The sequence below is a fragment of the Homo sapiens genome, chromosome 7, assembly GCF_000001405.40.
Source record: "Homo sapiens chromosome 7, GRCh38.p14 Primary Assembly".
In the NCBI taxonomy this organism is placed as follows: Eukaryota; Metazoa; Chordata; class Mammalia; order Primates; family Hominidae; genus Homo; species Homo sapiens.
The window spans coordinates 6,798,937-6,826,440 of NC_000007.14; the positions used below are offsets into that span (position 1 = coordinate 6,798,937).

Genomic DNA, 27,504 nt, shown 5'->3' on the forward strand with positions numbered 1-27,504 from the left:
TTTTAAAAACTTTTAACAATTTATTAGTCTTATTTTCCAGTAAAATATTCAAATAATGTCAAAAGAATGAAATGATAGCGATATAGCCAACTACCTTTAATTAATTCCACATAAATATTTAAAATCTAAAAACCTCAGATCAGCAGACCGAGTCGAAATCTGATTCTTCAAAGCAAGTATTGCTTTACCCTTGTCCTGAATGCAGTCCGTCATATGACCACTAACTTGCATGTGACCAAATGTTTGCAGAGTGTTTTTTAGATATGCTCTCGGTGAGCCGTCATCCGTCAATCCAAGAAGAAGATGTTGTTGAACTGCGTTGCACAAAGTTTCTTGACCTCTTCTGCAACAAGGACACAACAGTGAGGAAGGAAGAGGCAGTCACTTAAAAGGTTACATAATATATAATTAAATTCTTCTTGGGTAAAATTAGGAAGAGAGATTTGCATTGATTTTGACCTTAAATCCCAGAAGACTAGGCAAGAATTTTTTTTTTTTTTTTTTTGTTTGAGACAGAGTCTTGCTCTGTCACCCAGGCTGGAGTGTAGTGGTGTGATCTTGGCTCACTGCAGCCTCTGCCTCCCAAGTAGCTGGGACTACAGGTGCACACCACCACGCCCTGCTAATGTTTGTATTTTTTGGTAGAGACAGGGTTTCGCCATGTTGGCCAGGCTGGTCTCGAACTCCTAACCTCAAGTGATCCGCCCACCTTGGTCTCCCAAAGTGCTGGGATTACAGGCATGAACCACTGTGCCCAGCCAAGAAATGTTAACAAGTAGAAGAGGGGAAAAAATCCACCTACAAAACCTACCAGGCCTCAGGAGTTTTGAGCCTATCAACACTGCTGCCCGGGGCCTGAGAAACTGCAAAGTGCCCGGGACACCCAGGGGAGGGGGTTAGAAGCACAAGGCTGGTGACACACACCAAGCACAAGGTTGTCATCCTGGGACAACTAATGGAACAACAAAGAAACGGACAGCAACCTTGAGCTGCAGACCAAGTGCTCCGCAGAGGGGTCAGGATTTTGATCTTACCACATTCACAGTTTAGATCAGGCTTGCATTAACTGATGTTTCTAGTGCGCACAATGACTAACACAGGTATTACTAATAAAGAGAAAAATGTAGTATGCCCAAGATACAAGGGGAAAAAAACGCTTACACTGAATTTCCACACAGTGTACACGTGGGGCATCTCCCAAGGGGGCAGCTCTGCCGAGGTGAGGTCCCCTCTCTCCAGGGCAGCCGAGCTATCAGCACCGCAGCTGCCGGGTCACCCCGTGCAGTGGGCAAGGCTGGCCGCTTTGGCGGGAAGGCAGGAGAAAATGTCTGCCTCCTTCTGCCTGTGTACAGAGGGATACTTGTAAACGGCTATGTGAACCCGGCAGCTTCTCCCTACAAAAGATATGTTTTTATCACAGGATATTAAAAAAGGACATTTTGGGCTGGGCAAGGTGGCTCACGCCTGTAATCCCAGCTCTTTGGGAGGCCAGAGGATCACTTGAGGCCTGGAGTTTGAGCCCAGCCTGTGCGACAGAGCAAGACTCTGTTTCAAAAAAAAAAAAGAAATTAGCTGGGTCTGGTGACACATGCCTTGGTGATACATGCCTGTGGTCTCAGCTACTCTAGAGGCTGAGGTGGGAGGACTGCTTGATCCTAGGAGTTGGGGGCTGTGGTGAGCTATGATTGCACCACTGCACTCCAGCCTGTGTGACAAAGTGAGAACCTGTCTCCAAAAAAAGGGGGACATTTCTTAATATAAAGTCATTTTTTTTTTTTTTTAGAATTGTAGAAAATAATTTTCTTTCTGCCATTGCCAAGTTTCCTGTGCTACAGGAAGGTCTTGTCATAGTTTTCCAAGGAACAGAAAATGGATCAAATGTGGAGCAGAGGCACCTGCTTAGAATCTCAACAGTCATGATTTGTTCTATTTACCTATTTTTTAACCATGTTTCTTAATGCAATGAAAAGACAACTTCTCAAATTCTCCTGAAATACCAAATCCTACTTACCATTTACTTCAATCAGGTTTGCATTTTTTTGATTCAAAATAACATAGAGCTCCCGCCGATCAGACTTCTTTCCAACAACCCAGTAATCACTCATGGCCTTCACAATGATCTCCTCATCTTCATCCACTCTGCAAGACGAGGGTCAAAATGCAATTGTTCGTTACTCATACGGCCAGACTGTGAGAATAAGCGTTCCAAACCAAGAACAGGAAATGGAACGGGCGCACGTGGCATTTAAAAGGCTCAGGGAGTGCCGCGCGAGGGAACCGGTGACTTCAGGGCTCCCGGGTCTGTTTGGAAGCGGCGCCCATGAAGGTGGTTCACGCTTGAACCCCATGGAAAGGGCTTGAAGGGATTTTCTGTGTCTTTTCTCGTCTTAGAAAGGGGACGCCTGATTGGAGAAGTGGCTGGAATCACCTGGTAAAGTCACTGTTGATGTCACCGAGAATCTTCATTAAATCCGGGTGCACGGAAGTGAGCGACACGCTGGGCGTTTTCCTCATGTGAACTGTGCTCTTCTCGGCGAGATTCATGTGGTTGAAGTAGATAAACTTAAACTGGGGTTCTTTCTCAGACCTGTGAAAACATGTCACGAAGACAGTAGCACTCGGGCCGGATACAACTAGATTCTTCTTTTAAAATTTTTTTGAGATGGAGTCTTACTGTCGCCCAGGCTGGAGTGCAGTGACACGATCTCGGCTCACTGCAACCTCCGCCTCCCTGGTTCAAGCGATTCTCCTGCCTCAGCCTCCTGAGTAGCTGGGATTACAGGCGCCCGCCACCACGCCCAGCTAATTTTTGTATTTTTAGTAGAGACGGGGTTTCACCATGTTGGCCAGGATGGTCTCGATCTCCTGACCTTGTGATCCACCCGCCTTGGCCTCCCAAAGTGCAGGGATTACAGGCGTGAGCCCCCGCGCCCGGCCCTGGCCCTCTTTTTCTAAACAAAGTTTCACGGGAACCTCGCCATTGCCACATGTTCATGTGCTGTCTGTCTGCTTTCCCACCAAAATGATAGTTGAGTAGTTTTAACACGTATCTACATATAGCCCGTGACATCTGAGATACTTATTATTGGGTCCTTTACCGTAAAAGTCTGCTGACCCCTGCTTGAGGAGAGTAACACCTCGTTCCTCCCACAGTGCGGGGAATGAGTGTCCCGTGGAAATTAACCTGCCTCATGAGGGAAGCCTACGACACTATGTAACGAAGCTTTCCCTCATATCATCCCCAGTGGACATCACTGTAAAACGCAGTCGCCTTTTCCACTGCAGTCTGATGAACATTTTAAATGGGATATACCTTTTTATTTCTTAAACTGACTAGGCAGTGCTACGACGCTGCCTCCCAGGTCAGAGTCTGTGACCTCCTCGGGGACCTAGTGGGAAAAGCTGGGCCTCACTGCTCCTGGGGCCCCTCCCCTCCCCTCCCTGCACCCTCAGTGTCCACCCTGGGGCCTGGATGGGGCCTGAGCACAGCCCCGCCCCTGGGCTCAGAGGCCTCCTCTGCTTGCTTCAGGGTTAGCAGCCACGTTCTGGAGGGCTGGGGGTACCAGAAATCCGACCTCCGGACCAATGGGGTACTCATGAAATACTCTACGTCCAGGCAAAGAAAGAACGTGGAGGATTGAGTTTCCAGGAACATGTAAAGAAACTTCTTATAAAACCAGAATTTGTTTTCATAGTTCCCTAAGGTTAAGGAAAGTATAATGACAAGAAAAACTGTTTGGAAAGAGTTGTAAATTTAGTTGTCTGGGTAGACAAGGAACTTAAATCGGGTGTAAGCTTCTATCCTCAAAACACTCTGTGAGGCCAGGAGCAGTGGCTCACGCCTATAATCCCAGCACTTTGGGAGGCTGAGGCAGGCAAATCACTTGAGGTCAGGAGTTCGAGATCAGCCTAGGCCACATGGCGAAACCCCGCCTCTACCAAAAATACAAAAATTAGCCAGGCGTGGTGGCACACACCTGTAGTCCTAGCTCCCGGGGAGGCTGAGGTAGGAGGCTCACTTACAGCCTGGGAGGTCAAGGCTGCAGTGAGCCATGATTGCACCACTGCACTCCAGCCTGGGCGACAGCAGGAGACCCTGTCTCCAAAAACAAACCCACAAAAAAACAAAACAGGTGACACGTTCTCTATGGTCACTACACTTTGTCACTTTCCATCTGTTAGTTGATAACCTGCATGATCCAAACCGATTTAACTCACTTTTGCCTCCTTCACAAAGGAAAACCTGGTATTTTCACGGCCAAAGGATTCAATGATTCAGCAGCACTGTCAAGATATAAGCTGTTGGCTGGGCATGGTGGCTCATGCCTGTAATGCTAGCACTTTGGAAGGCCGAGGTGGGTGGATCACCTGAGGTCAGGAGTTCAAGACCAGCCTGGCCAACATGGCAAAACCCTGTCTCTACTAAAAATACAAAAATTATTAGCTGAGTGTGGTGGCACACGCCTGGAGTCCCAGCTACTCGGGAGGCTGAGGCAGGAGAATTGCTTGAATGAACTCAGGGGCTGGAGGTTGCAGTGAGCTGAGATCATGCCACTGCACTCCAGCCTGGGTGAAAGAGTGAAACTCTGTCTCAAAAAATAAAAACAAAAAGCAACAAAGATGTAAGCTGTTGACAGCAGTAATCCACACACTGTTGTACAAAACCTAGAGGTGCTTTCACCTTTGCTCGCTTCTGCGCTCTTAGAGGCCCACGGTTATACAAGACCATGCAGAAATAACATATGGGCCGGGCGCGGTGGCTCACGCCTGTCATCCCAGCACTTTGGGAGGCCGAAGTGCGTGGATCACGAGGTCAGGAGTTCGAGACCAGTCTGACCAACATGGTAAAACCCAGTCTCTACAAAAATACAAAAATTAGCCAGGCATGATGGCACCCAGCTACTCAGGAGGCTGAGGCAGGAGAATCGCTTGAACCTGGGAGGCGGAGGTTGCAGTGAGCTGAGAACAGACCATTGCACACTCCAGCCTGGGCAACTGAGACTCTGTCTTAAAAAAAAAAAAAAAACCCAAAAAACAACGTATGAACATTAAGACCATGAGCGTATGCAGAAATTCACAGCCTTTTAGTAACTTCTCAAATGTGTAGAGAGCCCATTTAAAAGCAGGACTTCAACTTCGCAAAGTGCTTTCCATCGCCTCACTTTCACTTTATAATAACTATTTTATATTGAGAAAAGATAGGCATGGCCGGGTGCGGTAGCTCACACCTGTAATCCCAGCACTTTGGGAGGCTGAGGCAGGTGGATCACTTGAGGTCAGGAGTTCAAGACCAATCTGGCCAACATGGTGAAACCGTCTCTACTAAAAATACAAAAAGGAGCCGGGCATGGTGGTGCACGCCTGTAATCCCAGCTACTCAAGAGGATGAGGCATGAGAATCGCTTGAGCCTGGGAGGCGGAGGCTGCAGTGAGCCAAGATCAAGCCACTGCACACTCCAGCCTGGGCGACAGAGTGGGAATTTGTCTCAAAAAAAAAGCCAGGGAGAAAGAATTCAAGGACATTTCAGTGTCTAGAGAGCCGGAGGAGTGAATCCCGCCTCTCCCACTCAGTGTAGACACTTCAGGCTGCCAGACTGAGTACCCAGGCCCAGTGCCCCACATCCCAGCCAGTTTCCCCTACACATTTTCACACAACGAGAGGCAAAATGCTTTCAGTCTGTGCACACCAAGACCACGCCGATGACTACTGTCCAAGTGAACGTAACAATCTGGGCTGGTGAAATGGGACGTTCCATTCGGGGGGAGCTGAGGGAAGGTATTTACCAGAAGGCCCAGCCCCAGCTGCCAGCGTGGGGCAGAAACACTCAGGGTGACTGTCCCCGGGACCCTTTCAGACAGAGGCCTGAATGGCACGTAGCACCATCCTCTACAGTCCACGAGAACACAGGACTGTTAATACCACCCGTATTTGTAAGTGAAAACTACGTGTATTTCAAAAGCCGTTCAATGCCTGAAAGTGAACCGAAAGCAAAGTACAAACCCAGACATCCTCTTGTTGATGTTAAACTGTTCACAGATGTCAGAGGCCAGCACTGTGAGCTGGGGCCCAACGATGCTGTCCAGTCTTCGGCAAAAATCCAACGTTGGGTGGACAGAGGCTGGCAAGTCATGACAAAAAATACCAGTAAGATTCATTTTACTGTGCGACACTGAACAACAGTATTCAAACGAAAACTTCACTGGTCTGGGAAAACAAACAATGAATGCTCAGGCCCCCTTCTGCTCCTCAAATAGAAGAGAAACAGAAGATAGAAAACCGGTTACATTTCAGATGAAAAAAGGGCGAAGACCTATCTCACCGTGAAAAGCTGACCGAGGCACACCCTGTAGGGTGGTAAACGGTTGCCTACCCCAGAAAGACCTCAGAAGGTCGTATGTTTATTTAACAAACATTACGTAGCACTCATGGGCCAGGTGCTTCACAGACATGACCTCATTCGATCCTCAGAACCCCCCCGAGAGAGGTACCACTGCTGTCTCCAGCTCGCAGTCGGTGGGACACAGAAAGATGCCCACACTCTACTGCTGACTAGCGGGAAAACTAGGACTTAAAAAATATGAGCACTGGCTAGTTAAGGAGACAGGGGGGTCCCAGATGGGGAACAGGGCTCCTCTCTATGCCTCTATATTGCTTATGACAACACATTTATCATTTAATGGGCTGGGTGTGGGGGCTCACGCCCGAAATCCCAGCACTTTGGGAGGCTAAGATGGGTGGATCGCTTGAGCCCAGGAGTTTGACACCAGCCCGGGCAACATAGTGAGACCCTGTCTAAACAAACAACCACAAAAACATTAGCTGGGTCCGGCGGTGTGTACTGGCAGTCCCAGCGACTTAGGAGGCCAAGGTGGGAAGATCACTTGAACCCAGGAGGTCGAGGCTACAGTGAGCTATGATCATGCCACTGCACTCCAAGAGTGAAACCCCGTCTCCAACAAAAAAACCCCAAACAACCGAAACCCCCAAAACATATTTATCACTTAAGAATAGGATGCAGCAAAGTACAAAAAGCTTAGGCTGAAATCAGACAAAGGCGCGTACCCACCGTCGATCATAAAGCACACAGCCGCACTCATGGCCTGGGAAGACAGAACAAACCAGAGGTTATGAAATGGTGGAAAAAAGGAGACTTTCGTATAATAACAATCTGTTCAAAGTCAATGGGGAGAAGTCAACTGTAAGAAGCTGCTTTTTGGTCAACTAGAGCCATCTGGACACAGACTGCCCATTCCATGATGCGAGGGGAGTGCTGTTGACCTTGTCAGGTGTGACAGCGCCAGTGGGGAGGTTACCACGGATGTCCTCATCAGAGAGGCACAGGGAAGTGTTCGTGACTGACGTGATGACTTAAAATGCTCTTGCAAACCCGACAACACAACATGGAGAAGCAACGAAGACCAGAATCTTATTCACTTGTGTGATGGGGACTTAGGGGTTCACTGTTCTAATCTCTCTGTGTATAGTCCAGAGAGAATAGAGAATTGGCAGAAACTGTCCATTATTCTGTGACGATTTCCATTGACACACGTTTACAAAGACAGCAAATGGATATCATCCTGTCTCACTTTATTATAGCAAGTAATTACAGTTATGACATTAGACCTAGCAACCGACAACAACCAGGACCACAGATAACCAAAAATGTTTAAAAGTTATCAAAGCAATGTATGGTTAAGAGAGGCTGAGCAGAACACCAGGCCTGATGATGAAAGCCACAGATTTCGTTCTCTGACCCTCCTCCCCGGCAACCACTTTACACTGTCATTAGACAACAGCGTTATCCTAACTCTTCAACGTATCCTCTTTGGGCATCGTACTGACTTCCTGCTCATGTCATGACAGGTGTGACCCCTCGTCTGCCTTCCCCCTCCTCCTCTATGGTTTATAGCATTCTATTTCCTCCGCTGGCCGCCTTCCACCAGCCACAGCCTCCGCTCCTGAACTCACATTCCCACCTGCCCCAGTACCTCTTCCCACTTCCGAGAGCGAGATCCTGTCTCAAGAGAAGAAAGATCTCAAATCAGTGACCTGACCTTTCGTCTTAAGATCCTGGACAACAGGAGTCAACTAAACCTAAAGCAAGTGGGGCCGGGTGTGGTGGCTCATACCTGTAAGCCCAGCACTTTGGGAGGCCGAGGTGGGCGGATCACCTGAGGTCAGGAGTTTGAGACCAGCCTGGCTAACATGGCAAAACCCCATCTCTACTAAAAGTACAAAAAAATTAGCCGGGCGTGGTGGTGCGCCTATAATCCCAGCTACTCAGGAGGCTGCGGCAAGAGAATCATGTGAACCTGGGAGGCAGAGGTTGCAGTGAGCTGAGACTGTGCCACTGCACTCCAGCCTGGGTGACAGAGCAGGACTCCGTCTCAAAAAAAACAAAAACAAAAACAAAAAAACCCAAACAAACCTAAAGCAAATGGAAGGAAATAATAAAGCATGAGAGCAGAAACAAACTCAACAGAGAAAAATCACAGAGATAATAAATGAAACCAAAAGTTGTTCTCTGAAAAGACCCAACATTGAAAAACTTTTCCTTTTTCTTGTGAAGATTCCAGAAGTATGAAGAACCTTTAGCTAGACTATACAACAAGAAACAAAGAGAGAAGACTCAAATTACTAAAACCAGGAATGAAAGAGGAGACATCACTACTGACTTTACAGGAAAAACGAAGGAGTATCCGGCTTTACCTACAATACCATGAAAAACCACGTGCCGACAAATCAAATAAATTAATTGAAGCTGACAAATTCCTAGAAAGACACAAACTACCAAAGCTGACTCAAGAAGAAACAAAATCAAAATAAACCTGTAACAAGTACAGAGATTAACCCATTTATGCTGGAGGTTGTAAATCTTTTTTGTGAAAAATGAGACCTTGGCAATGACCTTCAGCAGGATATAAATAACTCTCACAAGCTTAGTGTTCCAATAATGGAACACTGGGCATAAATGGTTAACTTTAAAATTTGCCACAAAGAAAAGCCCAGGTGCAGAGAGCTTGACTGTGAATTCTATGAAACATGTAAAGAGGAATTAACACCAATTTTTCACTGTCTTCCAAAAAAATAGGAGGGAACATTTCCCAACACATTTTATCAAGCCAGCATTGCCCAAAGATATCACAAGAAAACAAAACTACAGGCCAATATCCCTTACACCCAAGCCCGCACAGCACCCGCTCCACCTCTGGAGGGCTGGAGACTAAGGCTGGCCATGTGGGGCCAGCTGTGTCTCTGTGGCCAACCCCCAATCAGATCTCTGGATCTCGAGGCTCAGGTGAGCTTCCCTGGATGTCAACACTCCACAGACACAGCCACACATCCTCGATGGGGAAACACTCACTGGGCTGTCCACATGACCCCAACGGGAGAGGACAGCCGGAAGCTCACACCAGAGTGGGACTCCATCTCAAAAACCAAAAAACCAAAAAAAAAAAAAACAAAAAACAAAACAAAAACCCAAAAAACCAAACCAACCCAAACCAACCTAAAGCAAATAGAAGGACTCCTGGTCCTTCCATTGGTGGCTCCTGGGCCCTGCCCCACACGCCTCTTCCCCGGGCTGATTTTAACCTGTATTCTTCCACTGTAATAAACCGCAGCTGTGAGTGCCGCCATTCTTCCTTCCCCCTGGTTTTGTTTCCCATGGTTTCTGTTATGTGAGGGACAGTATAATAAAATATTGAGGGAAGGGGGAAGCAAACCGCATTCACATGACTTTTATTGCAGTAGAGTGTCATCGTCCAATTATGATTACTATTACTTGTTTTGAGATGGGGTCTCACTCTTGTCCAGGCTGGAGTGCAGTGGCACGATCTTGGCTCACTGCAACCTCCGCCTCCCAGGTTCAAGAGATTCTCCTGACTCAGCCTCCTGAGTAACTTGGATTACATGTGCATGCCACCATGCCTGGCTAATTTTTCTATCTATAGTAGAGGCAGGGTTTCACCACACTGGCCAGGCTGGTCTCAAGTTCCTGGCCTCAAGTGATCTGCCTGCCTCGGCCTCCCAAAGTGCTGGGATTACAGGTGTGAGCCACTGCGCCCAGCCTTATTAATCGCTTACTGTACTGAATTTATAAACATTATCACAGGCATGTATGTACAGGAAAAAACACAGCAAGTGAAGGGTTTGGTACTGTCCCCGGTTTCAGGCACCTCCCGGGGGTTTTGGAACACATGGCCTTTGGCTCGGGGGTACTGCTGTAGAAAGCCTTTTCTGAGTCCTGTAGTACTTCTAGAGAACTCTTACCCTAAAGGTGGTCACGGGGACTCCCAAACTCGCAGTGGGTGTCAGAAGTGAGGATGGTCTTGGAGACTCATGAACTTTGCAACTAGAAATCACTGAACTGTACATTTTAAGTGTAGGAGGGTGAGTTGTATGGTACGTGCATTGTATCTCAAAGTCATTAAGAAAAAGGTAAGGACCCTTTAACATAGCCACAACCCCATCATCACACCCCACAATATGTCTGTAGATTGACTCTAAAAATAGAAATGCAGCCGACAGCATATTACACACCAGGGTTATGGAGATTTCAGTCATTACCTGGGTCATTCAAAGGAGGATGATTTTTTTCTTGAGATGGGGTCTCAAACTTTCACTCGATACACAAACGGACATTCTTCCTACTCCAATTCCTGCTCTGAATTACACCTCCAACATTTTGGTTTGCTTTTTCAGACCACATCTTTCTGTATGCTCTGCCTGCAATCTCCCCTTCCCTGCCAGTCTGTCACAGCCCAACTTTAAGTGACTCTCAAGCACACCATGTGATGAATGAAACATCTTTTTATCTTGGCGGCTTGAACCCTAGAGCCCTCCCTCCTCCTGCTGTCACGGAGCTGCTGGAGGTGGGGTGCCGCCAGCAGACCTGAAGAGCCTTATCACCCCAAGATTTCCTTGTACCGTCTCACACATGAGAACTACTGTTCTGGATTCCCAAGTGTTCCTTCTTGGTGTGCTCACTTATTCTGCTGACGGATGACCCTGTGTAACACCCTCAGGAAGGGTGCATGACGGTAAACTTTTTGAGGCTTTTCATGTTGAACGTGTTTTTTTTTTTCTTTCTGAGACAGAGTCTTGCTCTGTTGCCCAGACTGGAGCACAGTGGCGTAAGCTCAGCTCACTGCAACCTCCGCCTCGCGGGTACAAGTGATTCTCCTGCCTCAGCCTCCGGAGTAGCTGGGATTAGAGGCGTGCGCCACCTCACCTGGCTGATTTTTTGTATTTTTAGTAGAGACAGGGTTTCCCCATGTTGGCCAGGCTGGTCTCGAACTCCAGACCTCAGGTGATCCGCCCACCTTGGCCTCCCAAAGTGCTGGGATTATAGGCGTGAGCCACCATGCCCCGGCTAATGTCTTTCTTTTGTCTTATCTGTGGTTGACAGCTTGGCATGGCAAAGAACTCTATGCTCAAATTCATTTTCTCTCAGAACTTTGAAAGTCTCTCTTCCACTGTCACATAATGTCTGGTGCTGGATATGAAACTGTTGATACCAGTTTCATTATTTTTGAGAGGGTTTCACTCTGTCACCCAGGCTAGAATGCAGTGGTGTGATCATAGCTCATTACATCCTCCAACTCTTGGGCTCAAGCGGTTCTCCTGCCTCAGCCTCCTGAGTAGCTGGGACTACACATGAGCACTGCCATGCCTGGCTAATTTTTAAACATTTTCCTGTCGACACAGGGTCTTACTATGTTGCCCAGGCTGGCCTCCAACTCCTGGCCTCAAGTGATCCTCCCACCTTGGCCTCCCAAAGTGCTGGGACTGCACCTGGCCCATTTCAATTTTATATTAATAGATACAACTCTTCTAATTAGTGGATACTAATTTTTAAAGTTCTCGTCTGTCCTCGGAATCATGTTTCTTTCGAGACCTCTAGTTTTGTTTTTGCAGCCATATTTAACAATGAGGGAACCAGAAGGCTGACCAGAGATGGAGGCTTCACTCTGAGTGTAGGATGAAGGTCTCAGTTCTGTCTGGAAGAAAGAAATGCCAGAATGAGCAGGGCCTCATTCTCAGGGGCAGACATCCACGTTAGCCACTCTGGGTCTCTTCAGACTGTTTCCTTTCTTTAAACAGACCCTCGATTGTCACCCAGGGATGGATGCTCAGCCGTGGGCCTGTCTGTGCAAGGATGGGGGAAGGGGAGGCTGACTGGCCTCTCTGCCACACTTCACTTCCCTTCCCCACCTTTCCAGGCCCAGGCCCCACTCTGACTCCTCAGGTGACCTCCTCCAAGTCAGGAGCCTCTCTGGGCTTCCACAGGGCTGTGGGTCCTTGCCTTAGCACAGGGTTGCCACTCATATTCCAGGCCTGCTCCGGCACCGCCCTCTATCAGGCATGGTTTACAAGTCCCGTCTACCTTCCAGAGAGGGACAGGACTCCCTCATCCTGACACATCCCGCTCCTTCCTGTTCCCCCACGGCATCATTTCTGAGCCTTTATAAATGAAAACTTCTCCACAGCCTCAGGCAGGAAAGAGGATAAACACGTGCACATGCTCCGTCTTCTTTCTTGAATCAAAAACTGCCTTTAATTAGAAACACAACCTGAGTACATATCCTTACAAGACCATGTCCTGACAGAAACAAAATACGATCCTTATGGAATTAGCAAGCCTACAGCTTTAAAATCAGAGCAAAAGCAGCATATGCACAGACACGTGGCTACGGCCCCCATCCAGAGCCATTTCGAGAACAGGCAGCACCAACCTCTGACAGCCTTTGGTTTGAGAGCACGTGAGACTTCACACGTTTATAAATCACAATCTTAAACAGTTCCTCTTTCACTAATAACAGAACTGTTTAAAAGGAGCTGAAAATAAACTTATTACGCTGGAAGAACACCCATTTTGAGTTTTACCATAATCAGAACTTCCAATATCTTTTCCAAGAAACATTTAAGAGGTTTGCACATGCACTCGTGTACACATGCAAGAAAGATCCATTTCAGCACAATCATTAACGCTGGAAGGAAAACAGTTGTTACCTTATAAACGATTAAATGGAGCTCTTCATAAGTGTCATCTGTATTTACAAAAATTTTGGGGAATCTGCATTTTGCATCTGGATCATTGAGGTTCAAGGGTCCGGTAAGAAATCTTAAAAGCAAGAACAGACATGACTTGATTCAACGAGGTGAAGGAGAATCAGGAATCTAGAAACAGAACACACTCCCACTTCATACACACCAGTTGCTTTTGATGCCAGCTGCTATTTGGCAAACACCATATCAGAATAGGCCGGCTGGGCGTGGTGGCTCATGCCTGTAATCCCAGCACTTTGGGAGGCTGAGCTGGGTGGATCACCTGAAGTCAGGAGTTCAAGGGCAGCCTGGCCAACATGGCAAAACCTCATCTCTACTAAAACTACAAAAATTAGCTGGTTCTGGTGGTGGGCACCTGCAATCCCAGCTACTAGAGAGGCTGAGGCAGGGGAATTGCTTGAACCCAGGAGATGGAGGCTGCAGTGAGCTGAGATCGTGCCACTGTACTCCACACTCCAGCCTGAGCGACAGAGAGACACTCCATCTCAAAAAAAAAAAAAAAAAAAAAAAAAGGGTATGCTGAAGTAAGTTTTAACTCATTGGAAACAACAAACTTTCCTTTGTTGATTACTGTCAATCAGATGGCACAAAGATATTTCAATGTCCATATTATCTTTACCAAAAAGATAATAGGCCAGGCATGGTGGATCACACCTGTAATCCCAGCACTTTGGGAGGCCAAGGCAGGTGGATCACTTGAAGTCAGGAGTTCAAGACCAGCCTGGCCAACATGATGAAACCCTGTTTCTACTAAAAATACAAAATGAATTAGCCAGGCATAGTGGCTCATGCCTGTAGTTCCAGCTACTTGGGAGGCTGAGGCATGAGAATCACTTGAGCCCGGGGAGGCAGAGGTTGCAGTGAGCGGAGATCTTGCCACTGCTCTCCAGCCTGGGTAACAGAGCCAGACTCTGAGTCAAAAAAGAAAGAAAACCCAGTATCATAAATCAAAGAACAGAAGTCCTACCTTCCATAGTGTTGAAGATTTCCTGGCATTTCTGCTCTTATTGGAGAATCCCTTCCTGCTAACTGCAAATACATTTAATGTTGAGAATGACTTATCAGACTTTTTATTTATTTTCCAAGCTTTGAAAAACAGCATTATCTACTAATTGGTTCCATGCCATTTGTCTTTTTCTTTTAGAGACAGGATCTTGTTCTGTTGCCCAGGCTGGAATGCATGCAGCATGATCATGGCTCACTATAGCCTTGAACTCCTAGGCTCAAGCAACCCTCCCACCTCAGCCTCCTGATAGAGGCATGTGTGACCAAACCTGGCTAGTTTTTAAATTTTTGGCCAGGTGAGGTGGCTCACGCCTATAATCCCAGCACTTTGGGAGGCCAAGGCAGGCAGATTACTTGAGCCCAGGAGTTTGAGAACAGCCTGGGCAACATGACGAGATCCCATCTCTACAAAAAATTAACCAGGTGTGGTGGCACACACCTGTAGTCTCAGCTACTTGGGAGGCTGAGGTGACAGGACCGCTTGAGCCCAAGAGTTTGAGACCATCCGAGTCAACAAAGTGAGACCTCATCTCTTAAAAAAAATATTGGAGAGCGGGAGGACAAGAGGGAGGGAATGAACAAGCGAAGAGAGTGAGTTCAACTGAGCCAAAATGATTTTTGTGTGTTAAGCTCTGAAAATACTTTGGGGAGAACACAGTGATATCATTTAAAAGTTCTCTGCAGGAAACCAGGAAATTAAGTACTAGAGTGGAAAGCCAGGTAGGCACTAAAACATCTACTGAAAATTAGGTCTCCTGTTGATAGAGGAAAATACTACACAGGTTGATTGTTTTAAAGATCACTGGCATTTTAAAGGTTTCTAGAACCCAACCTAAAATCCAATTTTTTTGGCCAGGAGCAGTAGCTCACGCCTGTAATCCCAGCACTTTGGGAAGCTGACGCAGGTCAATCACCTGAGGTCAGGAGTTCGAGACCAGCCTGGCCAACATGGTGAAACTCCATCTCTACTAAAAATATAAAAATTAGCCAGGCATGGTGGCAGGTGCCTATAATCTCAGCTACTTGGGAGCCTGAGGCCGGAGAATTGTTTGAATCCAGGAAGCGGAAGTTGCAGTGAGCTGAGATTAAACCACTGCACTCCAGCCTGGGCGAAAAGAACGAAACTCTGTCCCAATAAATAAATAAATAAATAAATAAAATAAAATACATAAATTAAAAGTAAAATAAAATCCAATTTTCCTCTACTCAATGACTCACTCCTCTTAAAAACATGCTTTGTGGACTGGGGGCAGTGGCTCACGCCTGTAATCCTAGCACTTTGGGAGGCCAAGGTGGGCAGATCACAAGGTCAGGAGTTCGAGACCAGCCTGGCCAACATAGTGAAACCTGTCTCTACTAAAAATACAAAAAAATTAGCTGGGCGTGGTGGCGGGCGCCTGTAATCCCAGGTACTAGGGAGGCCGAGGCAAGGAGAATTGCTTGAACCTCTCCATCCCAGGTGAAAGTTCGAGACTCCGTCTCAAAAACCAAACAAACAAAAACACACACAAAAAAACCAACACACAGACACACAAAACGATGCTTTCTGTATCACATCTGAATGTCACATACTGGAGGAGAGCTGCATGTGGTTTTCTGTGCTAATTGATATACAGTGACATAAATAACACACTAAGACAAAACATACATCAGAAACGATCAGAAACACCCCCATGCACCACCATCTCACTCCACCTGCCCTCTCTGTGCCCCTGCATGTAATTGTGTGCAGCTATGGTACCCATCATACCTCAGGTTCGATGTGCCTTGGGAAAAGGGAGGTGGTAAGGTATTTGTATAAAATTCTCATGTCATCTTGTTCTAATCCACTCCTGCAACAACAGAAAAGCACTGGGTTAAACGTTTCGAACTGTCTTCTGTCTTTCCACTGCTGTGATAAAGCTCATTAAACAAAAATTTTTTTTTCAAGTCATTTTTAGTAACACAGAATAAATTCTAACTTTTTAAAGTTTAAAGCTACTTAAAACTCAAAGCAATCTATTTTTCTACCTGAGATCAAAATGAGTTTCCTTTTTCCTAAACATAATTCTTAGCATTGAGGTAAATCTGAATTTACGTGGTATACTTTGTCAAACTTTTCCAAAGAATTTGAAGCCCTGGATAAAGCTCATTTTTTATTAAAAAAAAATTTTTTTTTCTTTTTTTTTTTTGAGACAAGGTCTTGCTCTGTCACCCAGGCTGGAAGCAGTGGTGCGATCATGGCTCACTGCAGCCTTGGCCTCCAGGGCTCAAGCGGTCCTCCCATCTCAGCCTCCAGACTAGCTGGGACTACAGGCATGCGCCACCATCAGCTAATTTTTGTATTTTATGTAGAGATGGGGGTCTTGCTACGTTGCCAGGCTGGTTTCGAACTCCTGGACTCAAGCAGTGCTCCCGCCTCAGCCTCCTAAAGTGCTGGGATTACATATGTGAGCCACTGTGCCTGGTCTCATCTTTTTTCATTTTTCAAGAGATGAGTCTCGTCTGTCGCCCAGGCTGGATTACAGTGGTGTGACCACAGCTTGCTGCAGCCACCGATTCCCAGGCTCAAGCAAACCTCCCACCTCAGCCTCCTGAGTAGCTGGGACAACTGGTGCTTTTTTCTTTAACATTATATCAAGAGGCTCACCACCTGACCGCGAAGTTAAGGAAGGTAAAGAGTTAAACTTCAGCCCAGGCACTGGAACTTTATCCTGACCTGCAAAAGGCTACTCCTACAGTCCTGTATTTTACATGCCATTTGAGATGAAAAAAAAAGTCACAAGGGATTGGACTCGCTGGTTGAATTCCGTGTAGGATTATGCAGGAAACCTCCAAAGCCACACTGTTTCATTTTAGGAGCAGATGTCTCTTAGCTTCCTGGGTTATATGGTAATGCCACATTCTCTCCCCTAGTCCCCTGGGAAAATATGGGTATGCTGTAGACAGGGAACGTGATCCTAGGTCTCAGAAATGTACATGGATTTTAATTCTCCGGATCTTCGGTGAAGAAAGAGGAGGAAGAGAAAAACAAGCTTTCAGGCAAACCATCTGATCTGAAATGAGGCAGGAAGGAGCAGCACATGGAAAAAGCACAGAGAAACTAGCAGGTATCAGACTCTGGAACCGGTTTTTTAAAAGGAGACAGACAATGAGGCTGGATCTGGGCGTTTTCTATTCAAGATCACTGAAATACCGTGAAGGTGGTCGGGCGCGGAAGCTCACACCTGTAATCCCAGCACTTGGGGAAGCCAAGGTGAGCAGATCACCTAAGGTCAGGGATTCAACACCAGCCTGGCCAACATGGCAAAACACCGTCTCTACTAAAAAATATAAAAATTTGCTAGGCCTGATAGCACACACCTCTAATCCCAGCTACTTGGGAGACTGAGGCATGAGAATCGCTTGAACCTGGGAGGCGCAGGCTGAAGTGAGCTGAGATCACACCACTGCACTCTAGCCTGGGCAACCAAGCAAATGAGACTCAGTCTCAAAAAAAAAAAATCAAAGCAATATACTAAGTAAATACATAAGGGTAATATATACTCTGCTTGTGACAAATGTTTTTTTTCCACTTTTTGGTAGAGACAGAGCCTCATTATATTGTCCAGGCTGGTCTCCAAGTAACTCCTGGCTCAAGCGATCCTTCTGCCTCCTCCTCCCCAGTAGCTGGGACTATAGGTATGTGCACCACGCCTGGCTTAAAAGTCTTTTTGGTATTTAATATAACAGCTTTGGAATAAGCAATTCCATCAAAACGTGCTGTTTTTCTTTTTCTTAGACAGGGTCTTGCTCTGTCACCCAGGCTGGAGTACAGTGGTGCTATCATAGCTCACTGCAACCTCAAACTTCCAGGCTCAAGTGATTCTCCAGCCTCAACCTCTGTAGTCTCTGTAGTTGGGACTCTAAGTGCACACCACAATGCCCAGCTAATTTTTTTTTTGCATTTTTTGTAGAGATACAGTCTCACTATGCTGCCCAGGCTGGTCTTGAACTCCTGGTCTCAAGTGATCCTCCTGCCTCAGCCTCCCAAAGTGCTGGGATGACAGGTGTAAGCGTTGGCGCCTGGAGTAAGAGGCTGTTTTTCTTGAAGGTTATTTTTGTTGCTACTTCCTGGGACTGACCTTTCCCCACGAGCACACTGGAGGTGACAACCGAGCAGTTCTGTGCAGCCACCAGAGCTGTGCCCTGCTCAACCCCTCAGATGCTATTCCAAGATGACGATGCCAACAGGATCCCCAGAGCTGGGCGCCAGATTGTCCTGTGACTCCAGGCTTCAAAGGGCCAACGCTGCTGGTCACTCTGGCTCCAGGGTCTCCCAGAATGAGCTCCTGGAAGACCCTCTGCTCTAAGCCTTCCCTCTTCCTCACTCTCAGGAGTTTGCACCCATGGCGGGGCTTGTGTTCTGTCCCAGAGATCAGAATCTCAGCTACCCTTCTCTTTTTGGTGGAAGCAAGGCCATGGGCCACTACTGCTGGATTCTGGCTTGTCACACGACATCTCCCTATCGCCGTGGCTGCGTGTGATTTGCAAGCACGTCCTGTCATTTCCATCTGTGGAGGAGCCATCCCTCTGCAGACCTGATGCTACAGAAGCACAACTAGCCTCCCATCTCCTACATTTCACAGCAGAATTTCACTTTAGTAACATTGTGTACATATCACAGAAAGCAACTATAGCTGAGTCAGTACAGCGTAAGGTTGCCTGATAAACTATTTGTCAAATTAGAAAGTAGGTGGAGGCCGGGCACAGTGGCTCACACCTGTAATCCCAGCACTGGGAGGCCGAGGTGGGCGGATCCTTTGAGGTCAGGAGTTCGAGACCAGCCTGGCCAACATGGTAAAACCCCGTCTCTACAAAAATTAGCTGGGTGTTGTGGTACTCACCTGTAATCCCAGCTACTCGGGAGGCTGAGGCAGGAGAATTGCTTGAACCCAGGAGGCAGGGGTTGCAGCAAGCCAAGATCATGCCACTGCACTCCAGCCTGGGCAACAGAAAGCGACTCCATTTCAAAAACAAAAAAAAAAGTAGATGGGTTTCACCTGAAATTTGTGTTGTCTTCCTAGGAGATAAAGTTCATGTGGAAACCCACCAAGTTGTTTATTAACTGGATTCAAATTTCTTTACAGTAACTTGTTTCTCTTCTTAAAATGGAGCTACAAGATTTTGGCAGGGAAGGTAAATTTTAGGGGAACTAGTTTTGCCTTTTCTATTAGCTGAACTTACCTTATAGTAGTACCATATGGCCACACCCCTAATTAAGAAACGGGGCTAGGCCAGGTGCGGTGGCTCACACCTGTAATCGCGGCACTTTGGGAGGCCAATGCAGGCGAATCACCTGAGGTCAGGAGTTTAGGACCAGCCTGGCCAACATGGTAAAACCCTGTCTGTACTGAAAATACAAAAATTAGCCGGGCATGGTGGCATATGCCTGTAATCCCAGCTACCTGGGAGGCTGAGGCAGGAGAATCGCTTGAACCCAGGAAGGGGAAGTTGCAGTGAGCCAAGATCGCGCCACTGTACTCCAGCCTGGCAACAGAGTGAGACTCCGTTAGAAAGAAAGAAAGAAAGACAGAAAGAAAGACAGAAAGAAAGACAGACAGAAAGAAAGAAAGAAAGAAAGACAAGAAAGAAAGAAAGACAAGAAAGAAAGAAAGACAGAAAGAAAGACAGACAGAAAGAAAGAAAGAAAGAAAGAAAGACAAGAAAGAAAGAAAGACAAGAAAGAAAGAAAGAAAGAAAGAAAGAGGGCTCTAGTCAATGGGAACATAAAACTTGAGGGTCCCGGAACAGCTGCAAGCCTTGATGACTTCTGTCCACCTACTCTAGGCCAAATGTGCACAACCTCGGTTGCCACCCAGCTCTCAGGGGTCATATATGCTGGGCAGTCTTGTGCCCACGTTGTTCCTACTGCAGGACACAAACCTAGTTTCACGATAGCAGGTAATTTCCTGGTTTATATAACACTTTGGATTTCTTGGATTAAAAAAAATCTAGTTTCTTTAAAAGAAAGTAGGTGCAGTGGCTCGTGCCTGTAATCCCAGCACTTTGGGAGGCTGAGGCGGGTGGATCGCTTGAGGCCAGGAGTTTGAGACCAGCCTGGGCAACACAGTAAACCCCATCTCTATAAGAAAAAAAAAAAAAAAAAAAAAAAGGTATAAAAATTCTGCTTTTAACATTTATCATTTCAGAAAAAAAAACTCCAAAATAAAAACAGGATTCCTAAATCTTACTTGATAGGAACATTCTTTTTTTTTTTTTGGAGACAGAGTCTCTCTCTGTTGCCAGGCTGGGGTACAGTGGTGCCATCTCGGCTCACTGCAACCTCCGCCTCCCGGGTTCAAGTGATTCTCCTGCCTCAGCCTCCTGAGTAGCTGGGATTACAGGCATGCACCACCACGCCCAGCTAATTTTTGTATTTTTAGTAGAGACAGGGTTTCACTATGTTGACCAGGCTGGTCTCCAACTCCTGACCTCGTGATTCACCTGCCTTGGCCTCCCAAAGTGCTAAGATTACAGGTGTGAGCCACCGTGCCCAGCCTTTCATCTTTCATGCAGCCAGTTTTAAACTCCTCTGCTTGGAAATTTGAACCCAAATCACCCTAGTTCTGCTTTAAATAATCACTGCTTTATTTTGACAATATCTATGAAGATGCTTCCTACCCATCCTCCCCGCTGCAAGTTCCTGTTTGACAACCTGTCATCAATCCAGTCACTGCTGTTTTTATTATCTTAATTTCTTCTTTTAATACCATGCCTCGGGGTGTACCTACCAGATGAGCTGATCGTTATAGAGAAAAGCAGTGTATTTGACTATATTCAGGCTTTCCTCCATTCTATTAATAAAGGACTGGATTTTCAAATAAGTCATTTTATCCAACGGGAAGAAGCTGATTCCACCAAAAATGTCAAGTAGGTCACATGACTGCAAATGTAGCGTTTGCAAATACTGTGGAAAAAAAATAAGGCATAAAATTTACTAATAGTACACTGAATATAATGCTCCTTGATAACTGAAAATAATCTTATGTCAGACTCACATTTATGGTACAATTACATACTAGCAAACAGCACAACAATGAGGCCGTGGTGAAGACATGGGTGACTGAGTGTCAACTCAGTACCAATTCCAAGATACAAAGTTCAAACTATCTACTTAATGTTTATTCAGTATTGTGTTTTACTGCTTTAAATTTATTTTTTTGTGACAGAGTCTTGCTCTGTCATCCAGGCTGGAGTGCAGTGGTGCGATCTCAGCTTACTGCAAGCTCCGCCTTCCAGGTTCACACCATTCTCCTGCCTCAGCCTCCTGAGCAGCTGGGACTACAGGCGCCTGCCACCATGCCCAGCTATTTTTTTCCATTTTTAGTAGAGACAGGGTTTCACCATGTTAGCCAGGATGGTCTCAATCTCCTGACTCGTGATCTGCCTGCCTCAGCCTCCCAAAGTGCTGGGATTAGAGGTGTGAGCCACCACGCCTGGCCAAAAATTTTTTTTTTTTTTTGGTATAGACAGAGTCTTGCTATGTTGCCTAGGCTGGTCTTGAACTTCTGGCCTCCGTGATTCTCGTGTCTAGGCATCCCAAAGCGCTGGGAATACAGGCATGAGCCACTGTGCCCAGCTAGCACTTTCAAGTATTTAATTCCTGGCCAGGCACAGCGGCTCGCGCCTGTAATCCCAGCCCTTTGGGAGGCCAAGGCGGGCACATCACTTGAGGTCAGGAGTTTGAGACCAGCCTCGCCAACATGGCAAAACCCCGTCTCTAATAAAATTACAACATTAGCCGGGCGTGGTAGCCTGTAATCCCAACTATTCAGGAGGCTGAGACAGGAGAATCACTTGAACTTGGGAGACTAAGGTTGCAGTGAGCCAAGATCACACCATTGCACTCTAGCCTGGGTGACAAGAGTAAGACTCTGTCTCAAAAAAAAAAAAAAAAATTAACTCCCTGCCTTAATGCTCTTCAAATTAGACTAACCTAATGAGGGATCTATCCATTAATACTACAGAGAGTGCCATCTTTATTTCCCCCCCGAGATGGAGTCTTGGTCTGTCACCCAGGCTGGAGTGCAGCGGTGCGATCTCGGCTCACTGCAACCTCTGCCTCTGGGGTTCAAGCGATTCTCCTGCCTCAGCCTCCAGAATAGCTGGGATTACAGGCGTGCGCCACCACGCCCAGCTAGTTTTTTGGTATTTTTTAGTAGAGACGAGGTTTCACCATGTTGGCCAGGCTGGTCTCGAACTCATGACCTCAAGATCTGCCCGCCTCGGCCTCCCAAAGTGCTGGGATTACAGGCGTAAGCCACCACACCCAGCCAAGAGTGCCATCTTATACTAAAATCATGTCTAAATGATATGTACTCAGGACAACAGTTCTATCCATATGTTGACGGGTAAGAGAGAAATGAGGACAAGAACAGAAACCAGGAGATAATATGCGAGTGGATAATTGTGGTCATTAAAATGACAAAACAACAAAGAAAAGTAATTCAGAGAAACAAAAAAATTCAAAAATAGCTATGAAAGCTGTTTTAGAAAGTCGAATTCAAAAATAGATACAGAAGGTATTTTCAGAAGAAAATAAATTGAGAATTGTTGCTTCAAGATAAACTAGGCTAGGCGAGTTGGCTCACGCCTTTAACCCCAGCACTTTGGGAGGCCAAGGAGGGAAGATCGCTTGAAACCAGCCTGGGCAAAACAGCCAAGACAAGACCCTGTCTCTTTGTTTCCTTTTAAAAAAAAAGATAAACTGAGCTTGACAAGGTAGGGTGAAACATGCAAAATTCAATTACAACGAAAGAGGACAGCACTTGGAACAAATCTCCCCAATCGCTAATCTGACAAAGTCTGTCAAGGCCAATAACTCTTACCTACATCAAGACAGTTTACGCCCGTTTAGTGAACAGAACCAATCCCTGAGATTGTGCAACTCCAATAATTAAGTTTTCCTTATCAACTAATCTATCACACAAAAGATGGCTGCTGAGTAAGCCCAGAAGGACAGATGCAGGTAAAACACAGGGAGGCCAAACGATGTCTCCAGGACCCTTTAAGAGCCCCGGGCAAACGCAGGAAGCTCTGCCTTACACCACAGCTGGAGGGAAGGTTCCAGAGCACACGCCTCATGCGTTTCCTCGCTGCTCCAGTTTTGCGACGGTCTGTCTCAGGCTCTTTGCCACTTTCAAGTTCTGGGTTTTTTGTAGATAAGAAACAAACTTGTCTGTCTATATTTCTCTAAAAACCTGATGAATGCTTAGTAAAGTTATAAATGAAATTCAAAATACTTACCCGATGGAAGAATTTCTCTAATCTTTCTTTCAGAAGCTTGACGCCTCCGTCTTCCATGGCTTTCAGAAATGTACCATTAAAAAGCTAGTGAGGTAAAAGATTGCAGAAAAAAAAATCAGTTTCCTATGCTCACTTTTTCAGTATAACAAGTTCTTTTTTTCCTTTAGATTATTAATTCAGCTCATTAAATCTCCCAGTTCTTTCCAACAGAGAATATTTACGTGAGAAAACTTGAGTTAAAAATGTAAGTTACAAAAAATACTGTTAAGTGATGCTGTTTTATGAAACCACCTAATTGCTCTAGGCATCTTTCAAAAATTTCAACTTACCCTTAAGTTTCAATTTACATACATAATATCACCCACATTTCTGTTTTTTTATTTTTCAGTGTTCTGTTAATAAATGGAATCACCAAACTTTTTATCCTTTTTTTTTTTTTTTGAGATGGAATCTCGCTGTTGCCCAGGGTAGAGTGCAGTGGTGCAATCACAGTTCACTGCAGCCTCGACCTCCAAGGTGCGAGCGATCCTCCCACCTCAGCCTCCCAGGTAGCTGGGACTACAGGCATGCACCATGATACCTGGCTAACTTTTATAAAATTTTTTTGTAGAGATGGGGTCTTGCTATATTGCCCAGACTGGTCCTGAATTCCTGGGCTCAAGCAATCCTCCCACCTTAGCCTCCCAGAATGCTGAAATTACAGGTGTGATCCACTGTGCCCTGCCTCACTGAAACTTTTAAATCATAAAATTATCTGCATTCTGTATGTTCCTTGAGCACATAGATACACTTTTTCATCAATGGGGACACATTCCTACTATAAGGCTGAGAAAAGAGAAGGGAGTTCAATACTTACTGAATAAATGTAGGCATAAACCTCACTACCTGTTTCAAAGGCCTCATTATTTTCTTCTCTAAGACAAATACAGAGTCACTTTGCAGTCATTTATAGACTTCTCTTTAAACAACCCTGGAGCCTAGAGATAGGGGTAAGTGGTTGGACTCTGAGTTGAGAAAGAACGCCACGCTTACCTTGTACATGCTGTAGCACTGCCGCAGCACCGAGCTATAAACCTTGTCCTGCAGACGCGAAAACACAGCACACAGCTCAGTTCAAGGGAAAAACAATGTCTACTGGATAGATGGCAAAGGTACACTGACTCTTGGCCAAACAGTATAATGTTTATAAACTTCATCCCACAATAGTTGCGTGCTGAAAAAAAGTGTTTGCGTTCTTTTTTTTTTTTTTTTTTTTTGAGATGGAGTCTCGCTCTGTTGTCCAGGCTGGAGCGCAGTGGTACAATCCTGGCTCACTGCAACATTTGCGTCCCCGGTTCAAGCGATTCTCCTGCCTCAGCCTCCTGAGAAGCCGGGATGACAGGTGTGCGCCACCATCCCTGGCCAGTTTTTGTAGTTTTAGTAGAGACAGGGTTCCGCCATATTGGCCAGGCTGGTCTCGAACCCCTGACCTCAAGTAATCTGCCTGCCTTGACCTCCCAAAGTACTAGGATTACAGGTGTGAGCCACTGTTCCCAGCCAGAAGTGTTTAAACTCTAATTTGTCAATCAGTAAGCCTTACTTTAGGAGGGCTTTCAATATAGATGAAGAGTAGAAGGTATTAGTGAGATTGGGTGCATATACATTTTAAAAAGATTGTGCTCATGTAAATGATAAACATAAACCTTTGCTATATACCCCGAGAAACTTCTGCAAAAGCCTCCTAGTTTAAATCCGACCAAGTAAGGCATTCAACATACTCAGCAATACATTTAAAAAAATAAATAAATAAACAAACAATGACACATTACCAACAACTCCTCCTCTTGATATTCAATAACTGGTTTTCCATCTTTACTCTGTTTTTCAATTATAGGATTCCGAACAACCTACAAAGTTTGATAAACTGAAATTATACAATGAATTCATTAGACCATGTTTATTTTGCCTTAATTTAAAAACTTTGAACATGCTACAGCACCAGAAACACAACTTCTTAAAACAGCCCCAAGAATGAATAAAGCAAATAGGAAGAACTTGATTTTAAAATTGCAACCAATTTTATTTTAATTTTACTTGGATGCAACAGCCAGAGAACTTTCCTAAATTCTGAACAGTAAAGATCACCCATAACTTCACCATACAATTTCAGAAAGATACACTGTGTGTGTAAATACCATGACCATCCAGAAATTTTCTTCTGGTTCATTGAAGAACTGTCTGTTCTTCTGTGTATGTAAAGATTTTGCAGGTTTTGATGGGCTAAATGTCCTACAAAGGTTAAAAAAATATGTTTGGGACAATTCTCCAGCAGCAGTTTTAAGAATTCACTGAACGCTAAAGGCACACTTAGAGGTATTACCTTGTAAACTGTACAATAGCTTCACACAATCCGACATTTCTAATCTTCTCATTCTTTTCTACCTCATTTGGATGATAAAATAAAATCTTATTTTCCTCCTGAAACATGAGGAAACAGAAGCACAACATGAATAGAAACATTTCATCTTAGCTATTGAAAACGCTAAGTTCAATGTCGACCTCTTGTGTCACACATGCTAATGACAAAATAAAACAAAAACCGGTTTTAGAAAAACAGGAATTGTAATCCTAGTATTTTCAGAGGCTGAGGCGGGAGGATCACTTGAGCTCAGGAGTTCAAGACCAGCATGGGCAACACAGTGAGACGTCTCTATTATTTAAAATAAGAAGAAGAACAGGAATGATCTCATCATTGTGCAAATACTGCCCACCAGTCAGAAAGGCAATTTCGATAGTCAAGAAGTCACATCTGAAGTAGCACCAGGTAATTTTTATGAAAACTCAAGTCTCCAGGTTTCTTTCCTAGTGCTAATTTGTAATACACCAATGCTTGTAAGAAGTAAAGGTGTGCCCATCTGCAGACACATAGCTCCCTGAAAATTAAATCCAGTCAGTTCCCAGCCATTTGAACTGACAAGTTGTTTTTTTTTTCTTTTTCTGGAGATGGGGTCTGTGCTGCCCAGGCTGTAGTGCAGTGGCGCTATTACAGCTCACCTGCAGCCTCAATCACTTGGGCTCAAGCGATCCTCTGGCCTCAGCCTCCTGAGTAACTGGAAATACAGGTGCGTGCCACCACGCCCGGCTCACTTTTCAATTTTTTTTTTTTTTTTGTAGAGTTGGGGGTCTTGCTATGTTGCCCAGGCTGGTCTGGAACCCCTGGCCTCAAGCAATCCTCCCATCTCGGCCTCCTAAAGTGCTGGGATTACAGGCGTGAGTCACAGCGCCCAGCCTGGACAGTCTTTAACAGAAGTCTGACTTGCTGGAAACAAAACACAGCTCCGGACATCCTTTGAGAAAGTCGCCGTCCCCACCTCAGAAAAACCACACACACACACACACACACACCCCTCCCGAAATTAATTTATTTCCTCATTTGGGCGAAAACTATTACAGGGACCTCCAGGCTTGCATCATTTGAAGGCTAGCGTCTGCCACCCTGGTTCCACGCTTCTAGTTGGGGACTACCCACTTAACAAAGCCAAGTTCAATTTTAATTTCCCAGAACTGACGCAAAGCAAAGCGCAAAGAGCCTCAACCTGGGGTGTGGAGTGATATAGACCCGACGGGGCTTTATTCCATCGACCTAGGACCTGAAGCGGTCCCTGCCTGCTGTCAGGTCCCCGCCGCAGCCCCCTGCCCGGACTCGCACCTGGCACAATGCAGGCTAGGTCAGTGCCCCTCGAGGTGGGCAGAACCACAGGGCCACCTTCCCGGGGAACACCGGCGCCGCCCGCCCGCGCGCCGCCCCCTCCGCATACCTGTCCTTCGCGCGGCCCGAAGCGCGGGTTGTAGATGAAGAAACTCAGCAGCGCCGGCGGGAACTGCTTCTCCTGGGCCGCCCAGGGCCCGCTCCCGGCCCCGGCCGCCGCTGCAGCCATCCCGCCCCGGCCCCCACCTCGGGAGCCTCCCACGGCCCGCCCAGAGACAGCAGCCACCGGCTAAAACACCGCACTTCCGCCTCCGTCGCCACCGCCCCGGAAGCACTCGCCGCAGGCCCGGAAAAAGAATCCGCCTCGCAGCGTCCTCTTCAGGCACCCCCGGGTGGCCTTGTTGTCTGTTTCCTGGCCGAGTTTGTGTTTTGCTGGCTCGCGGAGTTTTCTCCTGGCTACAGGCGAGGGCTG

The 27,504-nt window shown here is 46.2% G+C and overlaps 1 protein-coding gene across 1 annotated transcript; it reads right to left on the reverse strand.

The window, feature by feature from the left end:
* On the reverse strand, positions 1 to 27,339 carry CCZ1B (CCZ1B vacuolar protein trafficking and biogenesis associated). The gene is made up of 15 exons (NM_198097.5): positions 27,142 to 27,339; positions 25,704 to 25,801; positions 25,519 to 25,612; positions 25,153 to 25,230; positions 24,377 to 24,424; positions 23,345 to 23,428; positions 20,830 to 21,005; positions 15,828 to 15,909; positions 14,040 to 14,101; positions 13,016 to 13,127; positions 7,068 to 7,101; positions 6,002 to 6,119; positions 2,429 to 2,587; positions 2,012 to 2,139; positions 1 to 343 (listed from the first exon to the last, which is right to left on the reverse strand). Exons 1-15 carry the CDS (start codon positions 27,259 to 27,261, stop codon positions 288 to 290), a joined length of 1,449 nt encoding a protein of 482 aa, NP_932765.1. The 5' UTR covers positions 27,262 to 27,339; the 3' UTR covers positions 1 to 287.
* Between the last annotated feature and the right edge of the window lie 165 nt (positions 27,340 to 27,504).

What these genes read in the sequence shown, in the direction of transcription:
- CCZ1B (NM_198097.5), bottom strand. Translation starts at nt 27,261, where the DNA reads ATGGCTGCAGCGGCGGCCGGGGCCGGGAGCGGGCCCTGGGCGGCCCAG. An exon ending in TAGAGAAATTCTTCCATCGG is followed by an intron (nt 21,006 to 23,344) that starts GTAAGTATTTTG and finishes TTTTTTCCACAG; the next exon opens with TATTTGCAAACGCTACATTT. An exon ending in AAACCTGATTGAAGTAAATG is followed by an intron (nt 344 to 2,011) that starts GTAAGTAGGATT and finishes TCCTTGTTGCAG; the next exon opens with AAGAGGTCAAGAAACTTTGT.